Below are 21,262 nucleotides of genomic sequence, written 5' to 3'. Positions count from 1 at the left end.
TCAGGGTCCCCGGGTCCCCGGTCAGGCTCTTTGCCATGGAAGCAGGTGGTGTGGTCACCTGCTTCTCAGCTAATGCTAAGAGGCTGTTTTTAACTGGTTGTGTATATATACCTCACCTTACCGCACAGAGGATTTGTGGAGCTTGTGACGCAGGCAGCTTGGGTAGAGCAGTGGAAACCACAGTGGGAGCAGAAGCAACTCAGAGACCCTGCTGGGCCGTGGCTTCTGAGAAGTGAAGCTGGATGGCTGGGAAGAACTTGCTCTCTTGCCGGTGCCTCCCCACCCCATCAGGATGCATGCCCCATTCTGTCTAATTCAAGGCCTTTCTGTGGAATGCTTCCTTCCCATGGAGCTCAGATTTGGCTACCTGGAGATTTACTCTAACAATTTTGGTGGAATTTGGCACATACATTGACATTCATAAAGCCCTAGGGGTTGGACAAGTGGGTGACTGACAGGGGTGGGACATCCATCCCCAGGAACCTGCTGTCTTTGCCCTCCCTTGGGGAGGGGGCCTAGAAGCAGCTCCATGGTTTGGTTCCCACTCAAAACCTACCAGGTTTATTATAAACAACTTTATTCTTATAAATTTGGCAACTTAGAAGAAATGGACCATGTTCTTGAGAACCACAAACCACTAAAACTCAGCCAAGATGAAACAGACAACCTGAAGAGACCTATGACTATCAAATAAGTGGAATTCATAAATAAAAAGATCCCAAAGAAGAAATCTCCAAGCCCAGGTGATTGCATTGGAGAATTCTATCAAACTTTTAAAATGAGAATTAACATCAATTTTACACAGCCTCTTCCAGAAAATAGAAGGGAAGGGCATACTTCCCAATCCATGCTATGAAGTTGATATTACTCTGATATCAAATGCAGACAAAGACAGTATAAAAAATGTGAAAGAAAAAGAAAATACAGACCAATATCTCCCAAGAACACAGATGGAAAGATTCTCAGCAAAATATTACCAGTCAAATTCGGCAATGTATAAGAAGAATATATGACATGTGTAAGTGGGATTTATCAGTTATTCCAGGTATGCAAGTCTGGGTCCAACTTTAGAAATCAATCAGTGTAATCTATTATATGAAAAGGCTAGGCTGGGCGAGGTGGCTCACGCCTGTAATCCCAGCACTTTGGGAGGCTGAGGTTGGTGGATTGCCTGAGCTCGGGAGTTCGAGACCAGCCTGGGCAACATGGGGAAACCCCGTCTCTAGTAAAATACAAAAAATTAGCTGGGCATAGTGGCGGCATGCACCTGTAATCCCAGCTACTCGGGAGGCTGAGACAGGAGAATCGCTTGAACCCGGGAGGCAGAAGTTGCAGTGAGCCGAGATCGTGCCACTGCACTCCAGTCTGGGGGACAGAGCCAGACTCCATCTCGAAAAAAAAAAAAAAAAAGGCAAAAGAAGAATCACACAATCATATCATTTGACAAAGAAAAAGCATTTGACAAACTCCAACTCTCAGTACACTAGAAATACAGGGAAACTACCTCAACTTGGTAAAGAGCATCTTCAAAAATCCTACAGCTAACATCAGACTTGATGATGAAAGCCTTTCCCCCAAGCTGGGAACAAGGCAAGGATGTCCACTCTCATCCTTAAAGTTCTAACCACTGCCATAAAACAACAAGAAGAAGAAGATAGCTTTTCCCTGGGCTTTTTGCCGAACTGGTTTTTTTCACTCTGACCTCAAATGCCTTCCTAGCGATCTGAAATAACCTTCTTTTCTTGTTTACTATTTCTCCCTGCACTTGTCTGTAAGCTTGTTAAGGTTGGGATCTAGTCTGTCTCATTGCCACGATTTCCCGCTGTCTAGCAGAGCCTGCCCTGTGGTAGGTGCTGAGTAATATTTTTTGAGTAAGTGGAGACTGTGTTGGCATCATTGGCTCTGACTGGCTTCCTGCAATCCATGTGTCACAGTTGCACTGACCCTCTCTTATTTTCCCTTTTGATTCCTGCTATCATGTTGGCTTTGAATTTTGTTTCTGCAAAGGTTCCATAATCCAGGAACCAAGTGTCATGTGTCTTCTATCTCTAAGAGAGTCTCGCTCTCACTCTGTTGCCCAGGCTGGAGTGCAGTGGCAGGATCTTGGCTCACTGCAACCTCCGCCTCCCGGGTTCAGGTAATTCTCCTGCCTCAGCCTCCCAAGTAGCTGGGATTACAGCTGTGTACTGCCATGCCTGGCTGATTTTTGTATTTTTAGTAGAGACAGAGTTTCACCATGTTGTGCAGGCTGGTCTTGAACTCCTGGCCCCAAGTGATCCACCCACTTTGGCCTCCCAAAGTGCTGGGATTACAGGCATGAGCCACTGCGCCTGGTCTTGTTGAGTGTATTTAATTTTCAAAGATTACCCTTTTCTGACCGGGCATGGTGGCTCATGCCTGTAATCCTAGCACTTTGGAAGGCCGAGGCGGGTGTATCACCTGTGGTCAGGAGTTCGAGACTAGCCTGGCCAACATGGCAAAACCCTGTCTCTCGTAAAAATCCAGAAATTAGCTGGGTGTGGTGGTGGGTGCCTATAATCCCAGCTTCTTGGGAGGCTGAGGCAGGAGAATTGCTTGAACCCAGGGAGCGGAGGTTGCAGTGAGCCAAGATCACACCACTGCACTCCAGCCTGGGCGAAAGAGCAAAACTCCATCTCAAAAAAAAAACGCCAAAAAACAAAAAACAAAGATTACCCTTTTTACATTCAGTTACAAGGCTGAGCATATAGTAGGTGCTTAGTAAATATGTGATTAGGCTGAGCATATAGTAGGTGCTTAGTAAATATGTGACTTGTGTAGCTCATCCTGCCTTTCACAGCCCTCTTAGCTCATCATCACAGCCTGCGATAAATAGGCAGGAAAGACCTTCTCATGAGGCCACCTGGAGAGAGGATGGGCCCAAGGACACCTGATGAGTTGGAACATAACCAGGTCCTTCCTGGTTCTCCTCTTGTCATTCTTTGGCCACTGAACAAGCAAGGATTTAATGGTTATGTATTCTGAGAACAGGTATTGAAGGGATTAGGCGTGTAAAACTGGATGAAGTGAGGTGCCAGCGTGGCCTGCTTCTCTTAGGGAGGGGACAAATGCAGAGCCCATGAGACAGGACAGTGATGGACGAGATGAGGAGTCAGGCTCTGGACACGGCTGGCTGGGGTTCACATCCTGGTTTGGGGGTTGGGAGAGGAACGTCACATACCTTGGGGAGAGGTTGGGGTTTCTGTGACCTTGGGCAAGTTATTTCACCTCTTTGTAAATTGATGGTAATGGGTTAGAGAAAAATCACAATGATGATTACATGTAAATCCCCAGAACAAGTGCCTCGAATGTAGTAGTGCTCTATTAGCATAGTAATAAGCGTTAGTTATCATTATTACTTTTTTTTTTTTTTTAGATAGAGTCTCACTTTGTAGCCCAGGCTGGAGTGCAGTGGTGCGATCTCAGCTACTGCAACCTCTGCCTCCTGGGATTCTCGTGCCTCGGATTCTTGTGCCTCAGCCTCTCAAGAAGCTGGGATTACAGGCACGTGCCACCCTGCCTGACTCATTTTTGTATTTTTAATAGAGATGGGGTTTCACCATGTTGGCCAGGCTGGTCTCGAACTCTTGATCTCAAGTGATCCGTCTGCCTCAGCCTCCCAAACTGCTGGGATTACAGGCGTGAGCCACTGAGCCTGGCTGAGATCTTTTTACTCAGTCCACTGATTTAACTGCTGATATCCTCCAGAAAACCTCACAGAACATCCAGAAATCATGTTTGACCAGCTGTCTGGGCATCCCTTAGCCTACTCAAGTTGATAAATAAAATTAACCATCACAGCCCCCACATTAGCTTCCACGGCCGCATCGGCCATGACCCCCAAGACTGCAGACAGGGGCAAGCTCCCAACAGGCTCTTGGAAATGTCTCCAGGGGTAGATGCTTCTTATTTTTCTCAGCCACTGTGGGAATACAATTAGACTCATGCCTGAGTTGGTTTGATAAAAGCCCATTTAAAAAAATTCTGAACATGTCTGCCGGGCGCGGTGGCTCACGCCTGTAATCCCAGCACTTTGGGAGGCTGAGGCGGGCGGATCATGAGGTCAGGAGATCGAGACCATCCTGGCTAACATGGTGAAACCCCGTCTCTACTAAAAATACAACAACAAAAAAATTAGCCAGGCGTGGTGGCGGGTGCCTGTAGTCCCAGCTACTTGGGAGGCTGAGACAGGAGAATGGCGTGAACCCAGGAGGCGGAGCTTGCAGTGAGCCGAGATCACACCACTGCACTCCAGCCTGGGTGACAGAGGCTTATAATGGTGATCTGGATAGCAGCGTTCTGTGGTTTAAGGTGTGGCTATTCAAGAACCTGGCTGCCAGGGGAAGCCTGGGTTTGCGTGAAGCGAGCACTGGACCTGTTGATGGAACCTTGGGTTCCGACGTCCCTGAAGATGGAAAAATGGAAGGCAGTCCAGGCCCCCTGCACTGTCTGCCTCCTGAGGGGAGAAGAGTCATTATTTATCACATATTTTCTGAGTGACACAAGGTGCCTGCAAGAGGCTGGATGTAGGGACAAAGATGAATCAGATGTAGTTCCTCCCAAGAACCCCAGTGTGCTGGAGCAGGGCATTTGCAGTGGGGCTGGTACCCAGGCGCGTGCGTGTGTGTGTGTGTGTGTGTGTGTGTGTGTGTGTGTACACAGAGGCGCTGGGAAGGGGGCAGGGGTCAGTTTTCACTGTAGGGATACCTGGGAGGGGCTGTGGGGACCTCAGAGCAGCTGCATTGTGGGGCTGTGGAAGAGCAGGCATGGAGCACTGAGGGAGGGGCAGGGCCAGCTGCAAAATTGGTGGGGCACAGAGAGAAATGACTCCAGAAATTAGGGGTCATTTTTCTAAAAGTTACATAGGAAGATTTTCCCTTTCTTTTACAGCCTCTCTCAGCATGTCATGGTGCCTTTCATTTACTATTTCATGTTGTTCTAAGTAAGGAAAGATCAAAATTGAGCATGAATTTTACCATTTATCTTTATGTTGTGGAATGCCAGTTTTAAGTGCAATTATGAGAGCATTAAAATCATGTGTAGAATCATGAAATTCATATTTTGTGGCTTATTTTCTCGGGAGGTGCCTGGAGTAGGCCAGAAGGACAAACTCAAACCAGACTCAGAAAGGTTGGAAGGCAGAAGGGAGGAAGGACAGACTCAGAGGGCCCGGGGGCCCCGTCCACAGTGCAGGGCACCCACGCAACCACCCTCAGGCCTGACAGCTGCTAGGTTTCTGCCCTTACCAGATGCTGGACTGACTGCCTTCCACCCTGGCCTGGGGTGATCTGAGGAAGCTGAGCCAGGTCTTCCCTGCCTAAGAGTCCACCACCCTCAGCCTTGGCAGGCAGGCAACTCCAAGGCTCTTTAAACCTGTTCGTCAGGACCTGCTCAGTGCCTAGCTCAGGGGTGGGTAAGAGGCTCACTCCTGCTAAGCCCCAGTGGCCCTGGGTGAGGGTGAGGGAGAGCTGTTGCCTGCGTGCTCCACCCTGAGACACATGGAACACAAGCCTGATTCTGACCCTCCCTGCCGAGGTGGAGGGTGCAGTATCATTGCAGAACAGGGATGGGAGGGGGAGGCCAGGCGGGAGAGCAGGCCGCTATCCTGGGAAGGCAGTAGGAGATCGGATCATGTGTGAGCTCAGACTCCATGACCCAGCTCCACTGACAAAACTCAGATTCAAGGATAAAATTATTAAGACTTTCAAGATGGCCATACAAGGCATTCCACCCCAAGTGCGGGGCCCTTCTGATCATGAGACCTCATGTGAATACACTGGCCCCATGCCCACAAAGCCAGCCCTGGGAGAAGAACTGGGGGACATTCTTCAGGTTACTCAGCATTTCTGGGCCTCAGTTTCCCTCGGGTCAGACAGGGTGGGGAGAGACTCACTGTAAGGCCACACCTGGATGGGGACTGGACAGCCCCTGGGGCCTCACCTCTACCTCTCCCTGTCATGCTGCTTCACCTGTGTTCACAGACTTAATCCTCTCACAGCCCTAGAGACAGGCATTATGATGTTAGCTCCTTGCTACAGGTGAGACGATGTCCTTTCTGCGGGGATTAAATAACGTCCTAAGGAAGAACAGTGAAAGTAGGGGCACGGCTGGTGTGTACCCAAGCATGGGGACTCCAGTTCCTCCTCCCATCAGCCCTGGGCTGTGCTCCTCCACCACCTGCTGCCCTTGCTTCCTGCCCCCCAGCTCTCCTCCCTGCACAGGGCCCTGTGGGCGCCCGGCTTCTCTCACTAGATTCAGCTTCAGCCCACACTATATCTGGCCCCATCTCTTGGTACTGCCTCAGCCGGGTTCCCAGCAGAGGGACTCCCCCGGCCCAGCTGCCTTCCCACACAGGTCCCTGCACAGGTCGCTGGCCAGCTTTCAGAGCAGCTGCTCTCGGAGCAGGAACCCACCCACATTGGGTCAGCTGTGGTTGGCCAGGGGAGAAGGGGCACATGACACTGAAAGAATGTGGCTGCCCCTGGTGGCTCCTTGAGCAGGGAGGGCCATGGAGAGTGGTGTCCCCTAAATGGAGTGTGGGGAGCCCCGAGGGGGAGAGGCCGCCCATCCTGACCTGCCCCGTCAGGGCCCGGAGTTGAGGCTTTGTCTGAGGGAGGAGCCAGCACCTCCTGACCCCTCGCTGAGGCCCAGGCTTCTGCTGGGAGAGCCTTCCATTCCAAAGTCAGCAGCAGGCAGCCTCAGCTGGAGTGACAGGTGGCAGGCCCCGGGCAGCGGTAGGAGGGTGACCCCTCCTCTAGCACAAATAAACATGGAATCAGCCCTGTGCGGGGCTCCCTCTGTGGCCTAGGGCTTCCTCTGTGCCTTCCTGGCCCAGGCAGGGTGAGAGCCACAGCGGGCAGTCACTGTGGTCTCGGGGTGGCCCCCTCCTCATCCTGTTCTCTCTCCTTCCCTGCACGTGGCAGAGCTCCACCTGGAGGGGAACTTCCTACACCGCCTCCCCAGCGAGGTCAGTGCCCTGCAGCACCTCAAGGCCATTGACCTGTCCCGGAACCAGTTCCAGGACTTCCCTGAGCAGCTTACCGCCCTGCCGGCGCTGGAGACCATCAACCTGGAGGAGAACGAGATCGTAGGTGAGTGGGCCTGGCCCACCTGGCCCTGGGCTGCTGCACGAGGCGCTCATGGGCCACAGGACTCTGGAGTCGACCTTCACAGGTGGGAGGAGAAGCTTGGGCTTTCTGTCTGAGATGCCTGAGCAAAGGACATGGGGCCTGGGAAGGTAGACATTTTGAGGCCCTGTTGCCTACCGGGTGCTGGGTGGGACACTTGCTTTCCCTGGCAGGTAGACGGCCTTGGCTTTCACCACAGTGCAGCTCTGAACTAGCCAGGCCACTGTAGGCCACAAGCTCTCCCTCTCCAGTTCTCACCTACCAGCCTAGGCGGTCTCAGACCCTTCGGCTCTGGCCCTCTGTGTACTTTTTCCTCCCTGAGTCCCCTGGCTTCACAGAGACCTCTTCACAGGAGTGAGCAGGGCCCACTAGACAGCCATGTTCAGCACAGCCTCTCTATGCCTTCCAGAACAAACACGCTGCTCCCTGTCAGCCCAGCCTGCCAGGGCCCTCACCACCAGGGAACCAGGGGTCTGATAGGTGCCTTCTGCAAACAGCAAACCCCAGGAGGTTGGGTTCTGCTGAGGTCAGGAAGCGGTCTCTCCTTCCTCTTGCAGCGATTATGTGTCTCCTGTCTCATCAGGACCTCAGAGAGCCGAGCCTCAACTCCAGCTAGTGGTCTAACCTGCCCAGACAACCTGGGCACTGGGTGGGGTCTCTGTGTGCCCTCCCCTCCGCAGCACCCTCCTTCAGTGGCTCAGCCCCAGTTCATCCTCTCTCACATGGCCTCTGATGTGGAAATGCTGTTCTAATGCCAATGATGTTCATAATAACCCCCTTCAGTCATGCTTTCATTTTCTTAAGCCCTTTTATAGCCATTATGCCATTTGATTAAAAGCAACATGAGGCAGGCCATTCCCCATCAGATGAGTCCTAGCAGTTTGGGCCCATCTGATGGGGAATGGCCTGCCTCCTGTGGTGCGAGTGCCCATCTGTCAGCGGTGCCACAGGCAGGACTCTGACCCTGGCTGGGTGGGAGGTGGGACCAGCTGACCTTTGAGGTTCTGAGTCTTTCCTTGGACAGATGAATCAAACGAGGCCCAAACACATCATGAGAGTGCATCGGGTTGCACAGTGAGACTGCCGCGGTGCCAGGATAGGAATATGTGATTCCACAACAGCCCTGTGCCCAGGATAGACGTCTCTTGCCTGGCCTCTGGGAAGCCCCTGGGGGTGGGCTGTGGTTCAGTCTTATGCTCCCAAGACCAGAGTCCTCAAACAGCTTGCACCTGGATTGGCTCCTGGGTCACTGGGGCCTCTGAGTATTCTCTAAGCAGAAGGAGCCTGCCCAGAGCAGAAGGAGCCTGCCCAGAAGTGCCTTGGCCTGCGCGGCTCTCCCTCCCGTGCTGTCCTGCTAATCCCAGGGGCTTGCTTTTGAGCCCTTTGCCCCCTGCATTCCTGGCCAGGCCCTTCTTGCCTGGGTCCTTCGTCTCCCGTCTCTGTTCATTGTGGCCCCTCAAGATGCCTCCACTTCCTTCTGCTGCTCATCCAAATGGGGCAGTAACTGAGCAAGAACAGAGCTGGGTGTGCAGCGGGTAGACAGGTGGGTCTCACCAGCGCCAGCTTTGGCTTCCCCATATCCTAACTGTGGCCTTGGAAGGCTCACAGCAGCTCTGTGAATCTCAGCGCCCTCTCATCTTTCAGATGAAGCTTATCCCCCACCCCCAGAAGGTGGTTCAAGATAAGAAGGTGGCTTTTGCCAGATAAGGGAGCGGGTCGACTGGGTGTCTATGTTGGCTGCAGTCCAAGAAGTGACTTGCACCGAAGTGGGCAGCAAGGGTGGCCCAGATCTCCTGGTCCTTCCCCTTCTGAAAGGCTGACAATATCTCTTAGCAGGCACAGCCACAGAGCAAAGATCGGCTGTTTTGGCTCCTCTTGCATAGACATATCTCGCTTTTCTGCAGAATGACAGTAATAATTTCAACATGTGGAAGCATCTTACTTCTTACCAAGAATGGTCATGTGCAGTCCCACATCCACAGGGTGATGGTCTCCCCTTGACACAGGTAGAAACTGAAGCTCTAAGCCTTCATGGCCAAGTGCCTATCACACATCTGGCCAGGTAAGAGAGACATCAGTGACTGGGCTGTGTTTCCCAATCAGTTCAGCCTGGGACAGAGCCCCTGCTGCCTGGCCTCGGCCAGGCCTTGGTGATATGGAAATGCCAGGGGCTGTTGCTGTCCAGGAGGGGCTCCTGGTTTACCCCAAGTGGCCAGCTGCTCCTGAAAGAGCTTGACTGATCCCAGGGCCTTGTCCACTGCAGGAGGCCTTGGTTGTTCTTCCCCTGCCCCCGAGCTAGAGAGAGGGGGCATATGGAGGCAGCCACTGTTTCCTTGCTGGAGTCTCTCTGCTTCTATTTTCTATCTCTCCCTGATCCATCCGAGTTACTTGAGTGGCTTCTCAACTCCCAAACCAGCAGGAGAGCCAGGTCACAGCCTTCATCCCCAGGCTGGAGGGAGGTGAGAATGAAAGGGCCTGCTGGAGGAAGGAGGGGCTGCAGTGACAGCGACGAAGGTAGGGCTGCACAGTCTTCCATTATGGAAATAGTTCTGCACTCTTCGCTACTTGTAGCTGAGCTCCTGCAGCACCTCACTGGGATAATTGTAGAAACTTAGGATGCCTTCAGAGTGGCTTATTTTTTCCTTCCAGAATGCTTAGAGGGTGGTGGAAAAAATAAAACAAGATTTTTATGGGAAATAAATTTGAGATGCATGAGTGGCCTTTAAAGCTTTAGTAAGTGGAGAACAGGCAGCTCTGAAACAAGACCCAAGTGAATCAGAAGGACAGCCACCCTAAAGGGACCTCCCCAAAGCGGCCCCAACCTGGCGCTGGAAAGACGGGGAGGCTCTCAGCATCCAGGCAGCTGCCAGGATCAACTCAGTCATCCTCTTGTTTCCGAATAGAGCTGCCACGTGATCTTCCTCCACCCTCTGAGCCATTCTCAGGAAGAGAAGGAGGGAGGTCTGGGATCTCAACAGGGCATAGAGGCTGAGAGGGACAAGGATACTTCTGTCTGCTTTCTGATGCCAACCACTGGGAGGTGGTACCTGACCTTGGTGCTCACTGGTAGCTAAATGCCCTCACGTTTCAGGTCTGTGTGGCACGTGGATGGCTTTTGTTGCCACCTTGAGCACACGGCCCTCCAGTCTATGTGTGTGACCCTTCTCTGCCCTCCACCTCCACCAGCATCGGGCGTGGTGTGTGGCATACAGCAGGTACTCAGCTGGGTGGGAGCATTATGTAGAGCAGGAATTCCAAAGCCTCGAAGCTCCTCTGAAATAAGTGAGACATGATAGGGCAGAGTTTTTCAAGTTGCGTACTATGAACCTGCTAGTGAATTGTTAAGTCAAGTCAGTGGGTTGAGACCAGCAATTTTTTAATGCAGTAAAATAGAAAATGTCAGAGTACATCATCACATATAAAATGGTAATTACTATGTTGTAACTTTTAATTTCAGTTTTACTATGTGCATGCACAGATCTATCTATCTATCTATCTATCTATCTATCTATCTATCTATCTATCTATCTCCTGGGACATGATGAAAAATGGTATTTCTTACTCTTAGTCATGACGAAAAAATATTGAAAGCCACTCTTATGAGTTGTCCTGCAGAGATTTGGGGGTCTGTTCTCAGCCAACTCAGTCACCCGTCCTCCCTAGCTCATGCCCCAACCACATTATACAGCCTTCCTCCTCTCATCCCTCCCCTTCACCTGCCCCGCATGGCCCGTGCTCTCAGTCTGGAAGTCCTTTCTCATGTCTTACCATTTTCTCTGCCTGTGGCCAAATCCCCTGAGTCTGAAGGTCTGGGCCCGGTTCAGGTGAAAGGGAAGCAGAGTGGGTCAAGGGGCTTCTCCCTTTCCCAGCTGACTCCCTGGCAGACACACAGCAGCAGGTGTCTCCCACCCAGATGAGAGGCTTCCGGGGTCTTGGGGACTGGCCTGCCAGGACACAGTTGTTTACTCTAGGCACTCCTAAGAGGGAGAAAAGGGTTTGTAGCTTATAATATTTGTTCAGATAAGAGCCATTTATAAGTTTCTGGGATATGAGATAGTTCCTGTATTTTTCAAATCAGAAAGTGGTGTATGGAAGTTTTAAAGTATTTATAAATAAGCCCACCTGGGAAATGTCATTTCTGAAGAAGGAGGGGCTACAGAGATGAATGAGATGCGAGTCTCAACCTCAAGTTGCTTACAGGTATTAGTGTCAGCAAACACTAGATGGCTAGATAGCACCTGGTCACAGGTGTAGGGGAGGGCAGATGTGCCATGGAGAGCTAGAGAGAGGACTCTCAGTGGGAGGGTGGCTGTCCTCGTGTCCTTGTGGGAGGGTTTCTAAGGAGGTGGAGGCATGTAGTCTGACTGAGTGATGACATAGGGACATGATGGGTTGGAGCAGTCAGCTTGTTCACCCCAGCAGCCAACACACATGACTTGAAGGTGGATGCAGCGGCAGTAGGGCCTCACCACGTGCTCACCGGTACTTGGTGCTGCTTAGCAATTCAATCCTGGAACATGTGAGGGTGAAGACAAACGTCACATATTAGAGAGACTTCATTTTGCCCCGTAGGAGACTATTATTTCAGTTAAGCTGGAATTTAACTTTCTGTAACCTTCAGTTCTCTGTTTCTTTCTTTTTTTTTTTTTTTTTCCCTATACACCCACTGCTCCAGAGAGCACAAGAGATTAGAGGAAAACAAGTCTTCATTAAGAATTTAAGTTGGGCATGGTGGCTCACGCCTGTAATTCCAGCACTTTGGCAGGCCGAGGTGGGAGAATTGCTTGAGCCCAGGAGTTTGAGGCCAGCCTGGACAACATGGCAAAACCCCATCTCTACAAAAAGTACAAAAATTAGCCGGGTGTGGTAGTGTGAACCTGTAGTTCCAGCTACTCGGGAGGCTGAGGTGGTAGATCAATTGAGCCTGGGAGGTTGAGGTTGCAGTGAGCTGTGATTGCACCACTGTACTCCAGCCTGGGCCACAGAGTGAGACCCTGTCTCAAAAAACAAAAAACAAAAACAAACAAAAAATAATTGATTAAATACAGTAACAACACTTTTTTTTTTTTCTTTGAGATGGGGTCTCGATCTCTCACACAGGCTGGAGTGCAGTGGCATGATCTTGGCTCACTGCAACCTCAACTTCCCAGGCTCAAGTGATCCTCCCACCTCAGCCTCTCAAGTACCTGGAACCACAGGTGCACACCACCATGCCCGGCTAATTTTTGTATTTTTGGTAGAGATGGGTTTTTGCCATGTTGCCCAGACTGGTCTCAAATTCCTAAGCTCAAGCGATCTGCCCGCCTCGGCCTCCCAAATTGCTGGGATTACAGGCGTGAGCCACTGTACCTGGCTAGCGGCACTTTTAAGAGGAAAAGTATCTGTGTCATATAGGATGCTTTGGGCTGCATTTACTTAATTCTGCCCTTGTCCTGTTTCACCTTACTATCCCAGCCGATATTTCTCAAAGTGTGGTCCCAGGACCAGCAGCAGCAGCATCGCTAGAGAACGGGTTAGAAATGCACATTCCCTGGCCTTGCCCTAGACCTACATCAGAAACTCTTGGGAGGGGGAAGCAGTCTGTCGTAATACCTGCCCCTGACCCCCGGCTTTCTGATTCACATTCATGCTGAAGCCTGAGAAGCTCTGCCTGGGCTCTCAATTCTCAAAGTGGCTTCAATAGGCTGGCAGCATGGGCATTCCGGAAGGCTGTTAGAAATGCAGAACCTTAGGTTTCACTTCATACCTCCTGAGTCAGAATCTGCACCTGAGCAAGAACCCCCAGTGATTTGTTTGTATAATAAGTCCTCATTTAATAAGGACTGTGCCAACATCTGGCCTGCTGCCCATCCGTTAGACCCACCAACCCTCAGTAGAATGGGGTCAGCAGGAAGTAGGGAATCTTGGCCGAAACAAATGTTTCTGGACCCAAAGCTCTGCCTCCTGCCAGGCCAGACAGTGGCATAGTGGGAGGCTTCAGACCTCCCAGCTTGCCAGGGAGGGTGCCTTGACCTGCCAGTGCCAGCTGCCCTCAGAACTTCCTCTGGGCTCACGAGGCAGATTGAACCATGGTCACAAAAGGCTTCTCAGTGTCCCCTGGGACTGACTGCCTGTCTTCAGCCTGGATGACACAGAGAGGGAGACGCCTGACTGGACCTGGGGGCTCACGCCTGTAATCCCAGCACTTTATGAGGCCAAGGCAGGAGGATCGCTTGAGGCTGGGAGTTCAAAACCAGCCTGAGCAACATAGTGAGGCCCCCATCTCTACAAAAAATTTTTAAAAAAACATTAGCCAGGCATGGTGGTGCATACCTGTAGTCCCAGCTACTCAGGAGACTGAAGCAAGAGGAGTACTTGAGCCCAGGAGTTCAAGGCTGCAATGAACTATGATTGCACCACTGTACTCCAGTCTGGGTGACAGAGGGAGACCTTGTCTCAACAACAGCAACAACAATTTAAAAAAAAAAAGAGAGAGGGAAAAAAGAAAGGGAGACTCCCATGGTGAAAACAGAAGCAGAAGCAGAAGCCAGGGCTCCCTCTTACACCTCCTTCTGCTTCTCTCCTGATGACCTGTGGCAGCTCCCCTGCAGGGTAGAGAGCCTCTGAATCAAACTCTGCTCAATCCTGACCACTTTCCACATTCAAGTGGGAGGCAGGGACCCTCTGGGCTGGCACATCTGGAAGGACAATGTCAAACCTGTGGCACTTCTCTCCTGCCCCTGGATCTGGGGCTCCAAGCCCATCTGGAGGGATGTTGATTTGTTCCCTCCCTGGGCATGGAGTTCGGATTGCCCCCTGAGCACAGCCAGCTTTCCAGAGTCTGACCCTTGCCCTGACCTCTATGCGCTGAGTGTCACAAGTCCCATGACAGGATGACTTGCCCTCCGAGGTGGTAGCTTCTTGCCTGCATGCCCAGCAGCTTCATGCCTTCTGCCCCGCATGCCCTTGCTTGGTGTCTGCAGAGCTCTGAGTTGTGCTCACCAGGCATTGAGCAGTAGGTGCAGGCATCGATTGTGTTAGCAAGCACTTAGGAGGTGGTCATTAGACAAACAGTGCAAGGAGCGCTTGCCAGCTGTGCAGCCGCACCGAGGGAGAGGTTGGGATTAAACAAACAGGTGTCAACAGCAATTAATGCAAATTAGGCATGGCCCCCAGACACGAGGGTGCAGGAAGCTCCTGTTTGCAGCCCCTGCCCCACTTGTGTCCACCTGCAGGGAAGTAGCAAGCCACACACTTGGTCTTTGCCCAAATGGCATTCTCTGTGCCAACCACTGTGTGGTGAAACCTGGATGAACCAAAACCTCCAACTGTCCAGGATACTGTTGGTGCTCTGCTGGTAGCACACAGGCCAACAGCAAGAAGTTCTTTGACCCTTGTTTAAAACACAAGAAAAGGGCCGGGCGCGGTGGCTCACGCCTGTAATCCCAGGACTTTGGTATGCTGAGGTAGGTGGATCACTTGAGGTCAGGAGTTTGAGTCTGGCCTGGCCGATGTGGTGAAACCCCATCTCTACTAAAAATACAAAAATTAGCCAGGTGTGGTGGCATGCACCTGTAGTCCCAGCTACTCGGGAGGCTGAGGCGGGAAAATTGCTTGAACCCAGGAAGCGGAGGTTGCAGTTAGCCAAGATTGCACCACTGCACTCCAGCCTGGGTGACAGAGCCAGACTATGTCTCAAAAGAAAAAAATAAATAAAATTAAATTAAAAAATAAAACGCAACAAAAGGCTTCCAGGCTCCATTTACTGCCACTCTCCACTACTACCTGTCCCTGTCTCTGTCCAGAGTGCTGGAGAGCCGCCTGATGCCCTGATCTCCAAGCCCAGCTTTGCAAGGATGCCTTATCCAAGGAATAAAAGGCTTGTGGGGATATGGACATGGGTATGTAACCATAATGGGTTTGTTGCCTGATGCACTCGGCAAGTCAGTACGCTGAGACACTGGGTTGCAGCAGAGAAAGAGGTTTAATCATAGGGTCACTGAACGAAGACATGAGAGGATACCTCAAATCTATCACCCCAAGGAATTTGGAATTAGAGTTTTTAACAGTTTGGGAGTGGGCTGAAGCGTGGAGATCACTGATGGGTGGAAAAGAGCAGGGTGAGGTCATGGGACAGGGAGAGGAAGCAGCTGTGCTTTCATGCTGACCCTGATCCTCTGTGGGGGGGCGTCTCCAAACTGGTTGCTGAAATTGGGGATCTGAAAAACATCTTAAGCTATCCTACAGCAAAAGTTGATGATTCTAATGTTAGCAATCCTGTCTATAGGAATAACGGGGTTGTGAATCAATTTGTAAACAGTCTTTGGACCCTAAAGTCAGAAATCCTATCTACAGGAACAACTGGGATACACAAGGTCAGGATCTTGTGCTGTGTGACTTTCAGCAACAAGGAAGTGGGCCAAAGTGCAGCCCAATTAATGCTTAATTATAACTCTATTTCAGTCCATAATGTGGCATGCAATTCTTGTCAACCCTCTGGGGACACTTTTGAATTTGGGCATTTGGGAAATGTTCCTTCATTCACCAGTTGCTGTTTTTAACTAAGTGATTTACTTTGTGCTGGAGCTGAGCTGCACCAAGCTGGAGACACAAATAGAACAAACACACTCCCTGCTCTCATGGAGCTCCTGGCATTGTCCCGTGCACTAGTGACCATTTGCTGCACACCCAGCTCTTCTCTAAGCACTTTTCAAGGATGCTCTTGTTTAATCCTCATGACAACCTTATGAGGCAGATACTGTTATTCTCCTCAGGTGAGGAAACCGAGGCACAGGGAGATTAAATAACTTGGCCAAGGTCACTCCATCTGAGCCGGGATTCCAACCCAAGTAGTCTTGCTGCAGAGTCCTAGCTATTCAGGACAGTGCTTTGCACGGGAGAGATTTTTGCCCATAGCTCTAGGGGGATAGAAAGCCACAGGAACATTATGGCTGAAGTGCATAATTTTGGTTGGAAGGAAACCTCTTTGTAGAAAGAACAGTATAAGGTAATGAGGCAGGTTTCCCTAGGCCAGGTAGGCAGTCAGCCCCGCTCCTGCTAGCTCCTGTCAACTCTGCAAGTCAGGGGAGGGTGGCACCCAGAATGGAAGTACTGTGCAAAAGTTTTCACCAGATTCTCTCATTAATCTTCACCGAGAAGACCAGCGATGCTCAAACTATCTGTGCATTCAAATCATTGGGCAGGCTTTTAAAACTCCATGTCCTGACCACACCCTATGCCAATTAAATCAGAGTCTCTGATGGTGGGATTCGGGCTTCATGATTTTTTAAAGCTCTCAATGTAGTTGCCCAATGGTTTCTTCTTGCCTGCTGCCCAGGAAAGCAAATTCACTGAGAACAGCAGGTTTTGCAGCAAAGAAAGAGTTTAATAATCACAAGGCCAGCCAAGCCAGAGGATGGGAGAGAATTCTCAAGTCAACCTTCTTGAGAATTTAGAGGTTAGAATTTTTCAAGGATAGTTTGTCAGGCTAGGGAATGGGGAATGCTGATTGGTTGGGTTGGGGATAAAGTCATAGGGGGTTGAAGCTGTCTTCTTGCACTGAGTCAGTTCCTGGGTTGGGGGTCACAAGATCAGCTGAGCCAGTTTCTTGGTATGGTTACTGGTTGATATGGTTTGGCTGTGTCCCCACCCAAATCTCATCTTGAATTGTAGCTCCCATAATTCCCATGTGTTGTGGGAGGGACCCAGTGGGAGATAATTGAATCATGGGGGTGGTTTCCCCCATACCTTTCTCGTGGTAATGAATAAGTCTCACGAGATCTGATGGTTTTATAAAGGGTTTCCCCTTTCACCTGGCTCTCATTCTGTCTTGCCTGCTACCATGTAAGACATGCCTTTCACCTTCTGCCATGATTGTGAGTCCATTAAACCTCTTTTTCTTTATAAGTTACCCAGCCTCTGGTATGTCTTTATCAGCAGCCTAAAAATGGACTAATATACCGGTCCAGGTGGTGCCAGCTGGTTTATCAGAATGCAGAGTCTGAAAGATACCTGAAAGATACCTCAAACACCAATCATACGTTTTACAGTTGTGATGTTATCTGTAGGAGCAGTTGGGGAGGTTAGGAATCTTGTGATCCCTGGCTACATGACTTCCAAAGCATAATTCTAACCTTGTGGCTAACTTGTTAGTTTTACAAAGGTGGTCCCTGAGCAAGGAGGGAATTAGTTTTGGGAAGGGGCTGGTATTGTCTTTGTTTTAAGGTTGAAGTATAAACAAATTCCTCCCATAGTTAGCTTGGCTTATGCTCAAGAATCATCAAGGACAGCTTGTGAGGCTAGAAGCAAGATGGAGTCAGCTATGTCAGATTTCTCTGCCTGTCATAACTTTTGCAGAGGCAGTTTTATCCAGATGATTCCAGTGTGCAAACTAGATAGAACCACTGAGCTAGGCCAGAACTTCTGAGGAACCCTTCTGCCCCAGGTGTGCACCACCAATTCTGAGGCAGGGAACACAGGCACATGAGAGGGGACAGCAAAATTGTCATTCTTTCCTGAGGCTCTTCCCAGAGCACCTTAACCAAAGCAGAGGAACTAAGAGAGGCCTGAGAGCAGCCTGTGGGAAGGCATAGGCCTTCCAGTGGCCGGAGTGCAGAAGGAAGGAGGAGGGTGCAGAGGGCGGGGAGGATAAATGTCAGGCATGGGCCCAGCCGTTTCAGCTGCTTATTTGGCTGTCTCCAGAGTGGCCAGTAAGAAGACTGAGTCATTTTTGCAAAGAATTGTTATGATCTGGCTTTGATTGCATGTCAGATATGCGTGCAGGGGACTCTTTGGAGGGAAAGGCTGTGGTGGGTGGCCCCCTCAATGCCCATTAGCCCACCCTTGCTGGCCAACCTGGGGCACAGAGGAGGAATGAAAGCCAAAGGTTTTTCTCCTTTGCTTTTCTTTCCCTGCAGCTCATACTTAAGGACAGAAAAATGTCTCTAGGTTTATTGGTAGATTCTTAAAACATCCCGTGCTTCCCATCCTATTGATGGGGGTGCCCGCCATACTTCCTGCACCTCACTAGCCCCCTCCTCCCTGGAGAGCACCGATGGTCCCACCCCACAGATCATGAGGTGGAAGGACGGTCTTAAAGATGAAAGGTTGTGGTTCAGAGATGTGAAGGGGCTTGCCTGAGGGTGCACAGCTTTAAATGGCAGTGCCAAAATTAGGGTCTGTGTCCCTGGCCCTGTTCACCCTGCCAAATGGCCCATCGTCAGCAGGAGACTCAGAACTCCAGTCCACCCAGCTTTTTCTGCAGGCTAGAACTCAGCCTGCAGGATTGTCAAGGCTGTGCAGTGTGCTCCTGGCTCTCTGAGGGCTGGAGCTGTTCTATTTCCATTTGCTTCTGCCCCACCTCTGCCAGGATGCCCAGTCCAGGACCATGTGGCAGTAGGGAAGGCTCAGCCCCTGTCCCCGCCTGACTCCACCCAGAAGGGTGTGGTGGAGTGGTCTGAGAGATGTGTGTGTGTGGCTCCGGAGCCTTCTTGTTGCAGCATGACCCCCTGTCCCTGCCAGGTTACCACAGTCTGCTTGCTTGTCTCTTGTGGCATTTTGAGAGGGGGTATGCAGCTTAGCGCAGCACAGCAAGGCGTCCTTGATCTTGGTTGTTTTTGTGTCCAGGCACCAGAGCTGCCTTGAGGCTGAGATGTGGGCCTAGGGCTGGCCTGGATTCTCTAGCAATGCTGGAATCAGAGGCCAGCTAGCAATTCTGGTTACCTCTATGCTAGGTGCTCACCTCCCTTGACACTTCCCCAGGTCCTGACCCCTCCTTCTCACAGGGTCCCACTGTGGGCACCACACTGGACCAGGAAAGCATTCTGGAGCCATCGTTTGTAATCATCCTGCTTCTCAGCCGGTTCCACTGATGTAAAACAAGTTTACCTGTCAATATTGCTAACAATTAGTGAGACGGGGGCAAGCTGACCTCAGGGAAGTAATTTTGTGTAAACACTGCCCACTCTGCTTCTACTATTATTGATTACTCTAAACTTCCCACAGACATAGGTGGGAGTCCAGGGTGGCTGTCTACAGTGGGAGGAGGGCCAGCCAGTGCATAGTTTAATTCTGCTTGAGGTTTTTGCCTTGCCATAGGCCACTGAGTCCTTGACTTTAGTCCTCACCTAAGACATGAGGCCTTGCAACAGAAGCCCACACACTTGAGGGCCATGGGAAAGTTAAAGGGACATTCCTCTGGCTTCATAAAAGGATTCTAGAACCTCACATCCTACATTCTACAGTCATAGGCTCAAAGAGATAGAAGTAACCCCAGAATGCCCTGTAGACTCAAAGCCTCTCATTATCTGGAATAGTGGAATGTTGGAGGCCGAGTGCAGTGGCTCATGCCTGTAATCCCAGCACTTTGGGAGGCCGAGGCAGGTGGATCACTTGAGGTCAGGAGTTCGAGACCAGCCTGGCCAATATGGTGAAATCCCATCTCTACTAAAAATGCAAAAATTAGCTGGGTGTGGTGGTGTGCACCTGTAATCCCAGGGAGGCTGAGGCAGGAGAATCACTTGAACCCAGGAGGTGGAGGTTGCAGTGAGCTGAGATCGCGCCATTGCACCCCAGCCTGGGCAACAGAGCAAGACTCTGTCTCAAAAAAAAAAAAAAAAAAAAAAAATGGAATGTTGAAAACAACCTGGATGTCCAACAACAAGAACAGGAGTCAAAGTGGTACATCCATCCCATGGATTATGATGCAGCCATAGAAAGTCACCAATTTGTAACCTGAAAAGATATTTACAGCATATCATGAAGAACAGCATGTCATAGCATGCTATCTGGGAGGCCATTTGGAAATACGTAGGTATGTGAGTGTATATACACACATACACAAACACATTAAACAGTGGGGAAGGCCATATACCAAGACATTAATAGTGATTCATTCTAGGTGATGGGACGTGATGATTTTACTTTTGTTCATCAATATCTTTGCATTTTCTAAATTAGATTACTAGTGTCAAAGGGGAAGACTAGGATACGTGTCTTATCATAGCGTTGGTCCACAGAGGCCTGGCCCTGACTGGCAAATGTGCACAGAATGGGTGAGGCCAGGGAATGGGCCCCAACTCTTGAGTGTAGCTGTAGTCACAGAGTTGATTAAGCAGCATTGATGGCGATTCTGCTGTTTGCCCAGCTCAGGGTGGTCTCAGCCTGAAGGGACTCATGGTCTAGTTCAAAAGGTTAGACATTCATTCATCCAACAGATATGGAGCACCCGTGAGCACTGTGCTTTGTGTCACATTTACAGGAGTGAACAGACATATTCACAGGTTGCAGGGCATGGTGCATGATACGAGTGTGTATAAAGAAAATGTTCAGAGAGTTTGGAGGGGGATGCAGGGGAGTGGCAAAGGAAGCCGCCCTTGAGCTGGGATTTGAGGAGCAGCAGGACGTGGTGAGTGGTGATGGGAGCATGGCCCATGGTATTGAAGGCAAAGCGGAGGTCCCTTTCCTCTCCACAACAAAGTCCAGAGACCACTGGGCTGTCTAGCCTCAGGACATTTATTTAACCTCTCCAAGCCTCAGTTTCCCCATCCACAAAATGCAGGTCATTTCATATTCTCCTCTGCAGCCTCCAGCTATCTCCCTCTCTTGTCAGGATGCTGTGAGCATAAATGATCTTTCAGCTTTATCCAGAAACTCCCAGTTGCCTTCTTGGGCTTGTCACTTGCGAGTTTGACTGCTCTGATGTGTTGGTTCTGCCAGCTTTGGCATGTTTGATGGTCCCATCGCTCCTTCCTCTAAGCTGCTCAAATGACTTTTGCGGTTAAATTAGGGGAAAGAGCTATACCTAATCCCTGCTCTGTGCCTGTGAAAGCTATTACTGGCCTTCAGTAGGGTGGTTCAGAGAATGCCACAGACCCTGGAGAGGCCAGCTCTGTGGCAGACGTGGAAACAGCAAGCCGAGACCCCGGCAGTGCCGCTCCCACTAGGCCTGGAGTCGTGGGGATGTGTTCCGGGGCTGGGCTGCAGTGGGTCTTCCTGCCATGCCCAGCAAGCCTGTGGCAGCAGCATGACAGGGGGACCCCCCCATCCTCAGAAGTACTAGCCACTGTGTGGGCCACTGGCCTTCCCAGGTGAGGGACAGAGGAGACACGGGAGTCCAGAGTAGGGAGGGTCCTTAGCAA

General features: G+C 50.7%; 1 protein-coding gene across 17 annotated transcripts in view, besides 1 other annotated feature; it reads left to right on the top strand.

Annotated features, from left to right (window-relative positions):
* Nucleotides 1–21,262, top strand: part of LRRC20 (leucine rich repeat containing 20) — an 83,651-nt gene that overhangs the window by 51,654 nt on the left and 10,735 nt on the right. For 12 of the 17 annotated variants that reach the window (NR_103467.2, NM_001278214.2, NM_018239.4 and 9 more), the window contains one exon: nucleotides 6,942–7,109. The exons of the other annotated variants lie outside the window; for them this stretch is intronic. Coding sequence is in view for 11 of the 12 variants with exons in the window: in NM_001278214.2 (NP_001265143.1) it covers nucleotides 6,942–7,109 (168 nt within the window). In the remaining variant the exon portion in view is untranslated. The remainder of the gene's footprint in view (nucleotides 1–6,941; nucleotides 7,110–21,262) is intronic. 17 annotated transcript variants of the gene reach the window in all.
* Nucleotides 6,444–6,543: a silencer, noted in NCBI's record as "silent region_2444". NCBI's record gives its function as "represses an Ori minimal core promoter by ATAC-STARR-seq in GM12878 lymphoblastoid cells {active_cell/tissue: GM12878}" and the evidence as "EXISTENCE:reporter gene assay evidence [ECO:0000049][PMID:35858748]".

Source organism: Homo sapiens, chromosome 10 (genome assembly GCF_000001405.40).
Source record: "Homo sapiens chromosome 10, GRCh38.p14 Primary Assembly".
NCBI lineage: Eukaryota > Metazoa > Chordata > Mammalia > Primates > Hominidae > Homo > Homo sapiens.
This window is presented reverse-complemented; position numbering and strand designations above follow the sequence as displayed.